This window comes from Homo sapiens, chromosome X (assembly GCF_000001405.40).
Source record: "Homo sapiens chromosome X, GRCh38.p14 Primary Assembly".
NCBI lineage: Eukaryota > Metazoa > Chordata > Mammalia > Primates > Hominidae > Homo > Homo sapiens.
The window spans coordinates 90,176,515-90,186,758 of NC_000023.11; the positions used below are offsets into that span (position 1 = coordinate 90,176,515).

The 10,244-nt window shown below is 34.7% G+C and overlaps 1 annotated feature.

Moving 5' to 3' along the window:
* Positions 2,376 to 2,906: an enhancer, noted in NCBI's record as "OCT4-NANOG hESC enhancer chrX:89433889-89434419 (GRCh37/hg19 assembly coordinates)". NCBI's record gives its function as "activates a minimal SCP1, AML or CMV promoter by ChIP-STARR-seq in naive H9 embryonic stem cells {active_cell/tissue: H9 hESC(naive)}" and the evidence as "EXISTENCE:reporter gene assay evidence [ECO:0000049][PMID:30033119]".

Genomic DNA, 10,244 nt, shown 5'->3' on the forward strand with positions numbered 1-10,244 from the left:
GAGTGCACTGGCACAATCTTGGCTAAATACAACCTCTGTCTCCTGGGTTCAAGTGATTCTCCTGCCGCAGCCTCCCAAGTAACTGGGATTACAGTCATGCGTCATCATGCCCAGTTAATTTTTGTGTTTTTAGTAGAGATAGGGTTTCACCATGTTGGCCAGGCTAGTCTCAAACTTCTGACCTCAAGTGATCCACCCACCTGGGCCTCCTAAAGTGCTTGGATTTCCGGCATGAGTCACCACGACTTGTGCCCCTGTTGTGCTTTTATTCCAATGTTCAATTTATGGAAAAACCAAATGTTACTCCTTTAAATAGCCAATATTGTCATTCACAGAATTTCTTTTTACAAGATTAATTTTTTACAAACCTTCAACAACTTGCTCAAACATTTAGCTTTATTCTATCTTACTAGGCAAAAATTTACATTCCAGGGCCTTCTTATGATCTTTTACTAAAAGCACATTTCACTTTCTTCACATACCTTGCATGTAAAACTGTTTTTTCAGTAGTCTTGATTTCATGTTACAATGTTAACTCTTAGCAATTTTTATTTGTGGTAAAAAAAACCTGGTAAGTTATTTTATTGGAGTAACGAGCTGTTAGAAGTTATTTTATTTCCTCTCATGTGTGCATCAACAGTGGCAAGAAGACAAAATGGAGAAAAGCTATCCAGTTGACTGAAAAAAAAAAAAAAACAAGATCTATGAAGAGAATAAAATCATAAAGGCCTTTCAAATGTATGTGTAGCTTGGTGATCCACTTTTAATTAAGCTGACTTTTAGCCATAGCCCTCTTTTTTAAAAGTCCTTTTAAATTTCTTGTTACCCTACTTTAGCCCGCCCAGATTGCCAATATTTCTGGCTTTTAAACTTTACAAAAGCAACATCACGGGTGAATTCAACAAGCCTTAACTAAGGTTATGACCTAACCATGAGTGTATGAGGTATTTTGAAAGAGGTGGTTAGCAGATTTTATAAGATCTAGAATCTCCAAAGATAGCTCAGAGAAAGGAAGATTCAAGAAGGGAAGATAGAGGTTGTTCATGGAGGGGCTGAAAATCAACAAAGGGCCAAAGTTACACAGATATCTAACCAGAAAGTACTCATTCTCTAAGCCGGGAATTGAACCCTGAACCTGGGTTGTCATGGTGAAAAGACAAAGCCTTAGCCACAAAGCTACATCATTGACAGTTTCCATTGCTCTTCCCAGAAGTAGTCTAGAGTAGCCAATTTTGATCTTGCAAAGGCTTTTAACTTCTTGAAATAATGTTTAGAGCTAACTATGACATGAACCCTAAAATTCTTGTTCCCTGGATGGCAGAGATAGAGAGAAAGTACTGCCACATGGTTACAAAGTCAAGCCCCCAAGGACATAAAACAAGACAAGATGGAGACCTCATTCAGTTTCTTTGTTAGTTTCGGGGAACTGAAGCAAAATTTGTCACTGACCAGCTTGCTGGGCCATCTTAAATAACAAGCTAATGTGGTCCTAAGCCCATGTTCTATCCCAAGTACCCCTCTTCATGACAGAACAACACAGAAAGACAAATTCATAGCACAAAGTACACCAGATTTGCTACAGCTTAAGACTAGCCTAATGAATCCTTTTTCTTATTAATTAAAAATGTGCAAGAGATAGGGATTTTTACCATTCCCACTACTGGTTTGCAGAGAGAGAGAGAAGCATTGCCTGCAGCAGGGTAGAGAAGGTGAGGTGCTCAGGAAGGTCAGAGAAAGACCCACCCATTGCAGCAATACTTAACCAAAAATTCAGGTAGCTGCTTGCTGGTCACAAAGGGATCATTTTCAGCAGTCCCATTAGCTCTCATGTTTCCCCGTTTGGGCAGCAAAAGTTCCCCATGTTCCATGGTCCTGTACATGCCTAATCCTGTTAACCACAGCAGCCATCAGAAAAGAGTGCAAGGCAGATTTAATTTTTTAAAAATGAATTAGTTGCTTAAGCTTTTTATTTTCCTTTCATAAAGTTTTAAGATAAAAATATTAGAATCTTTTTAGGAGCTCCTGCATATCGATAGGCATCCCTAGATGAGACTAATTTGGGAGTGCCTATTTTCAAATGCACTTCAGTGCTGTGTTGTTAATTTGGAACGTTCCACTGTAAATGATCTTTATTAAGATTTTGTCATTTCTGTAAGACTTTGCTCCTTCCAGAGCCTAACACTTGTCCATGTATAAGCCGAAAGAAGCTCAGTTCTTCAGAAATTAAGGATCCCATTTTTACCTAAAATACTGGCTTTGCTCTCAGGTTCCGTTGATCAACTTAGCCAGCAATTTTTTCCAACCTAAGCATGCATGAAAAGTGAAACAAAAGGGTAGAACACAAAAATCCCTGCGAATTTCCAAAAGCCAAATTTTATACCCCCTGCAATATTACTATTTACTACCTGTTTCTTTCTGACCCAGTCAGATGTAAAAGGCCTCTAACTGGATCCAAGCCAGTTAGTTACCGGATCTAATCTAATCAAGGACCCAGTTCAGTTTCTGTCGTGACTGCTGGACCCAGTTTGGATCAGAAAATTGTTCAAAGAAACTTGGAGAGCTTAAAACAAAAATTCATGGAGCTTTGGAATCCAAGAGAGAACTTACCACAATCCCCAGCTGCTCTGAGAGCTCGAGCGATGGGCACAACAGGTGGTTGAGTACATTGCTTTGTCACTCAGCGCTCCTGGGGGTCGTTAGAAGCTCTACTTTGGATCTCACTTCTGATGCCATCTGTTAAAAGAAAAACTTCAGCCAAATTAAATTTAAAGAAGTTTAATTGCGCAATGGATGATTCACGAATTAGGCAGCCTCCTGAGCTAGAGCAGGCACTGGGACTCCAGCACAGAGACATAGTGGAAGATGATTTATGGACAGAAAAAGGAAAGTGACATACAGTAAATGGAAGTAAGGTACAGAAACAGCTGAATTGGTTACAGCTTGGCATTTGACTTATTTGAACATGGTTTGAACAGTTGGCTACATTTGATTGGCCAAAACTAGGTGATTGGCACAAGTATAGGCTGTCGTCTGGGTTATACCTCCACTTGTTATAGTTCACGATGTACAGAAAAACCTTTAGGCTGAACTTAAAATATGTAAGGAGGCAGCTTTAGGCTAAACTTTATTTAACACCTCTAAATCAAGCAATCAAAATAATAGAAATCTGAGTTCATGATTTATATTTATGTGCACACAAAAAATAAACGATTTTGTTTATCATAAGGCTTGTTCGTCCAGGAGGTAAAAGGAAGAATAACAATCAAATGGTTGAAGATTTTATGACCTGAATACTTGAATTCTAAAGCCAGGAAAATTTGCCTGTAGTTCCGTTCAATATACCTCAACACAGACACAAGTTTGTTTTTAAAAGAAGCTCATTGAGTTGCAAAGAAAAGACTCACTCAAGCTGGTTCAGATAAAGAAAAGCTTGTTGTGATGGGCAGGCAGAACAAAATAATTTACAGACTGTCATTTATTCTGAGAATTGCAGAAAGATTATCTGGTTTTAATGCTTTGTAGGAGAGCTCTAAAGCAGGAATATGGTTGCAAATAAAAATTCAGGATCAAAATTGCTTAGAGCTAATTGTAGCCTCCATAATTCATTAGGAGTATGATTTTAGGCAAATTACCTAAAGCCTCGGTATTTTTTTTAATTTTCAAAAGGGAAATAATACTAACAACCTTGTAGAGATTTTGTGAAAAATCAATGAAATCATATTACTAGTTTTCATGGTAGATTTAGTATCTGGTAAATGCTAACTATCATTATTAAAATTATGTATGTCTGTCTCTTGCAGCACCACTGCAGAATGCCAAAATATTTTTATACCTCTAGTTTTAATTAACAATTTTAATTTATATTTATCATAGCTATTAGGAGCAGCTCTTTACATCAGGATATGTGATTGTCTGCTGTAGCCTGTAAATGACTTACCCTTGGATACAGTTAGTTAGCTGCAGTTAAGAGACTGGAATCACATGGTACAAAAATCGACTGCCTAAGTGTCAGAGGCATGTGAACAAGAGCAACTACATCTTAATTAGGTACTGGGTAAAATGAGGCTAAGACCTACTGGGCTGCATTCCCAGACAGTTAAGGCATTGTAAGTCACAGGATGAGATAGGAGGTCAGCACAAGATACAGGTCATAAAGACCATGCTGATAAAACATTGCAGTAAAGTAGCTGGCTAAAACTCAAAAAAACCAAGATGGCCAGGAGAGTTACCTCTGGTCATCCTCTGCTACACTACCACCAGCGCCATGACAGTTTACAAATACCATGGCAATGTCAGGAAGTTACCCTGTATGGTCTAAAAGGGGAGATAGGAATAATCCAACACTTGTTTAAAATATAATCAAAAAATAACCATAAAAATGGGCAAACATTAGCCCTCAGAGCTGTTCTGTCTGTAGAGTAGCCATTCATTATTGTTTTACTTCCCTAATAAACTTGCTTTTACTTTACTCTATGGACTCTCCCTGAATTGTTTCTTGCAGGAAATCCAAAAACCCTCTCTTGGGGCCTGGATCGGGACCCCTTTTCCTTAACACAAGCAACAGGGGCTTAAGACTGTGGGATTTCCATAAAAAAAAGTGATGGGAGTTAAACAATGTGTGCACATGAACACAGAGTGTGGAATGATAGAAACTTGATCCTTAGAATGGTGGGAGGGTGAGAGGTGGTTTAGGGGTGAAAAAAATCACTTAATGGATGTAATGTACATTATTCCAGTGATGGAGACACCAAAAGCTCAGGCGTCACCACTGTGCAATATACCCATGTAACAAAATTGCACTTGTACTGCATAAATCTATACAAATATAAAAAACAAGAAATGTGGACATGGCAAGAAATAATTGATGGCATTATCCAATGCAATTACTTTCTCCCGTGATGGAAATGTATAATTTTCAAACATTAAAAACAACAATAAAGAAGAAAATAGCTTGAGAACAATGAGTTAATAAAATACATAATCTTTTGAGAAGCAGTGAATAGATTAAGGAGTTGCATGAATCAGAGAGATTTTGCTATTGTTTTTATAAAGGGTTAGTGAAGCCTGAAGATATATTGCTGAGTGTCTTTAGTGGCAAACCAAAATATTCAAATAAAGGCATTCCATTAATCATTTAATTCAATTCTAATTGCTCATGAATAATTTCCTCTCAGTTTTTGTCGTTGTTATTCACCAGCAAGTGAAAAGCTGATATTGAATTGAGTGATAGTCAACATTATTGTGATTTTTTCTTTTTATAAAGTAACCAGTTACCTTTCTCAATTCTTGCTTCACTTTCATGGGTAGATAAAATTTGAACAGATTCTTACCTTCTCTTTGTATTGCATACAGCATTTCTGAATCTCACTGTTCATGAATATGAGGACTAAACTCTGTTTTTTTTTTTTTTAATCTTGCCCAAATTCCTATTTAAGGGGTCTAGGGAGTCATGCCCTACAAACCATAAACCACAAATTCTCATCAGATGGGTTTTATTTGACCCTGTATATTGTGACTTACTTTCCAATCTGACTCTGGCATAATATTATGAGACAAGGAAAAAAATCAAAATATTTCACTCCAAAATATATTTCCTTGCCATACCTTGAAATTGCCCTGCAAATTATCTTGTGGGAAAAATCCACATTCTATAGAAAATCCCCTTTCCCCTTTGTTTTCCTTCCTTCCTTTCCAGATCCAGGAGATAATCAACTAAGACCTAGGCACCATTTTAGGTCCAATAAGAAATATTTTACAACCTGCTTTCTCTAAACTCTGCTATCTGAGAGCTTCCTCTGCACAATAAAACTTGATCTCCACAATCCTTTATGCTAACCTGAACATTTCCTTTCTATTGATCCCAGTTCTTCAGATAAACTCAACCGATTGTCAACCAGAAAATGTCTAAATTTTCCTATAGCCTGGAAGCCCCTGATTTCAGTTGTCATGCCTTTCTAAACCAAACCAATGCATTTCTTAAATGTATTTGATTAATGTCTTATGCCTCCCTAAAATATACAAAACCAAGCTGTGCCCCGACCACCTTGGGCACATGTTCTCAGGGCCTCCTGAGGGCTGTGTCATGGGCCATGGTCACTCATATTTGGCTCACAATAAATCTCTTCAAATATTTTACAGAGTTTGACTCTTTTCATCAACAAATACATAAATGGCTGTCCATAGGGAGTCTAACCAATGTTGAAAATTAAGTAAAATTTGTTAAATTGGATATTTAAAGGAAATAGGCAAAGAAACTAAAACCAACCAGAGTGGAAAAACAATAATGCAAGTGTTATGTTTGTAGTTTTAGCCTGGTAAATATAAGCAATAGGTCATGTTGTTCCAAAGATACGGGATTATTGTCTGAAGAAAATGTTTAAATAAGGAGGAAGAAACAAAATAAACATATTTTTCAAAATATCTATCAGTCAGAATAGAAGTAAAGAAAGCTCCCTTTCCAATCTGCTCAGAATGCAAAAATTACAGGATGCAAAATACATCACAGATAGTTGTACTTCCAGTATGTCCCAGACAGTAAACACTATGTATTTCCAATAATTTTATTTTATTTTTCTGGGGCAGAGGGAAAGTTAAAAGGTGATAGATGAAGAAAAAATGATATTTCACAAATACATTGAGTTTAGAATATGGATCCATAATAAACATATACCTTGTTTGCTTACAAAATCCACTGACAGTTTTTAGAATAAGGATAATAGATCAGAGCATCCAGTAACCAAAAACTGTTATCTGTGACAAACACAATACGCAGAAATTAGCATCTTCAGATTATTGAACCAAAGGTTTTGTAACCTATTTTTTATTTCAGAATTCCGGTGGTTTGTCTGCTTTATTAGTTAAATAATAATTTACTCATTTTTTATATACTTTTATAATAGATTTTGAATTAGTTTGCATTTGCAAAGCAACCCCATGGTAGCTCAACAGCAAAAGTCTTTCACTTAATATAAACTGTACATTTGATTTCCAAAAAGTTGAAATAATGAGTCATTTTCCCCTTTGTGATAAGTAATTTATTACAACCACAGTGATTATTACAGCATTCCATTAATTAGAATTTTACTAACACCAAGTCCTGCCTAATTGCTCTTAGTTTTTTCCTCATGAAAGCACTTTTACTTTTATTATTGTAATTAAGAAGGTGAGGCAAAATTAAAAGCATTTCTGTTATTTCACAAAATTGGATTAACAAGGTGAATATTTCACAATATGACAAATGTGCATAGTATGCTACTTGTCAAAGTCATTCTTAATAATTTACTCTGCCGTCTGTGTTTTATAAATTCTATTTCCCTTTGAACTATTTTTGTGGTTTTTCTTTTAATTTTACTTTTATGTTTAATTGATAGGGCTTCCTTCAGCCGTTATTAGAAGTCTCTTCAATGCTGTTCACTTCTTATAATTGTTTTATTATTTAAACATGCTGCAATTCAAAATGCCATTCTTTAGTGTCTCTTAATTAGTTCATTCTACTTACATTAACCCTTTGGTCTGCTTTCATTGGATTTTTGCTCTGACTTTGTACTCTGCCCATTCATGTCAAAAACAGCCTGTTTCAATTCACCTATTTTTTTTTTTTTACTTTGTCATTGCCATGATTTAGAAAGTGCCATTTCTTTATGATAATAAACACTAAAGCATGAATCACTGAATCATAGAAATTATGAGTATATGTTTCTAGAAAAGGGTTACTTTGAATAAGAAATGGAAAAAGAGGAGGGAGTATTTCCCTACTAGATATACTTTTAAGCAACCTATATCTCCATAAATGAACAGATCAGCATAATGTGAAGAATAGTAAAAGAGTAAAACAATAAGGTTTCATGAAAATTTTGTGTAAAATGAGCTACTGAATTAATAAAAATGAAGTTAAAATTAGTGCTCAGTTTGACAAAAAAAATGCTTTCATTTGGTTTAAAACAGCAAGAGAAATTTCTGTTTCAGCCAAGAAAGTGTTAGCTGCTTGATACAACCAACCAGATCCATTACTTTAGAGTGAAACTGCAGAGAAGTATTCTGAATATGTGTGTATACTTGGTCAAAGGCACAGGACCTTTTATATAGATTTTTAGAGGATATTATGAGTTTCAAAGGCATTACTACTACATAAGAATTTCTAATAATCCTCATATTATTCAAGATATTTACATGTATACACAGTACTTTAAACATAGATCCGTAGTGTCAGAATTTCACTAAGCCTGGATTTTACCCTAAAGAGAAAGGGCTTTGAGTCTGAATAAAAAATTTGATGTTTAAGAATATTTACCTCTTAATTTTCTCTGCAACCTCAAGTTTCTGGCAGATGAAAACATTTCTAGCTTGTCTCTCTGTCACATTTGCCTTAAGAGGCTGCTATATTTAAATGTAAATTTTCATATTCAAGATTAACCTAGTAAGCATATTATTTGAAATAATAGAACTCAAAACTAAGTGTACATATATGTATATGTCTGCATATTTATATTTTTTAACCCTGAAGATACTTTAGAAATTGAGCAGTAATTTTTATTAACACATTTTTAAAGATTTTTAATAAAAGGATTGATATTTTTATTTTTACTAATTTATAGAGTTCCTAAACAAGCAAAGTTAGTGTTGATTTCTTACAATACTATAATCGACATTATGCTATTCTGTTTAAGAATTGTTATTTTTGGTTATTGTAGGTTTGTGTGATGTTAGTATTAAAAATGTCAAAGACAAATTCATATGGCTATCAATCAGAGATCATTGATCTACGAATGATGATTTGAATTGCCACCCTCTTAAGAAATCTTGTATTTCTGGCAGTGACAAATCTAAAACTCAAAACATATTTATATACACAAAGGAAATTTTAGAAGAATACTCCAAGTTACTGTAAAGAATGGAGTGTTATTCACTTACAATCACCTTTACTCCTTTCTCTCTGTCATATATATTTTTTCCTGCTAAAAAACTTTATGAGCACAGTCCATATTTCAAATACACTCTAACTATACTACTACCCTTCGTAGCAAAAATCCTAGAATAATTTTGTATTTTTTTTCTTTAAATCACTGCTTATTCTCAACTAGGTTTTCACCCATACCTCTCCTAAGAGACTTATCTTTGCAAGATTATCAATAATGTACATTTGCCAAAGTCAGTGGTGAATCCATTTTCTTCTTATTTATCCTCTTTAGATACAACTGAACATTCTCTCATTACAGAAACATGTTTGTTCTCTAGGCTCTTGTAATGTTTTATTCTTCTCCTATATCTCCTGCTATTTAAATGTTGAATTCAAATGAGCTTTCTTCAGTTTTCTTTTGTTTTCAATATATAGTTTTGTCTAAGTAATTTTATCTAGTGCCATAGTTTTAACATCAGTATTCAACCACCGACTAAATATTTCAAATGGGATCTCAAATAGTGATTTCCAACTTATATATGTGTGTGTGTGTGTGTGTGTGTGTGTGTGTGTGTGTGTGCATACATATACTATTCTGACCCAATCTGCTTCTTCCTAGGCTTCCCCATTTCAATAAATAGTACCTATTTGTTCAGGCCCAGAACCAAGAAATATCTTTGATTCCTCTCTTTCCTGATATTCAAGCCCATTCTATTTACACATTCTGTAGCCTGTACTTCTAAGAAACGAAAAAATCTAAACATTTCTTTAAAATTCGACTACTACTACTGGAGTGGGAGGTTGAGGGGGAAGTAGGGATGGTTAATGGGTACAAAAACTAGTTAGAAAAATGAATAAGACCTTCTATTTGATAGTACCACAGCATGACTATAGTCAATAATAACTTAATTGTACATTTTAAAATAACTAAAAGAGTGTAATTGGATTGTTTGCAACTCAAAGGATAAATGCTTGAGGAGATGGACACCCCATTCTCCATGATGTGTTTATTTCACATTGCATGCCTGTATCAAAACCTCTCATGTACCCCATAAATATATATATAGCTACTATGTACCCACAAAAGTAATTAAAGAAATTCTATTACTACTTTGTTAAAAACACCATCTTATCTTGTCTGGATTATGATGGGAAACAAACAAACAAAATTCCTAACTTGTCTCTCTGCCTTTATTCTAGTCAGAATTTGTTCAAAACAATAAGCAAAATAAGCGTTTTTAAGAGTATATAAAATTGCATCACACTCTTGCTTAAACTTTAGTGGCTTCCCATAGTACAAATAATATTAACCAAAACAACTTATCATGGCCTTTAAAACCCGCTGACT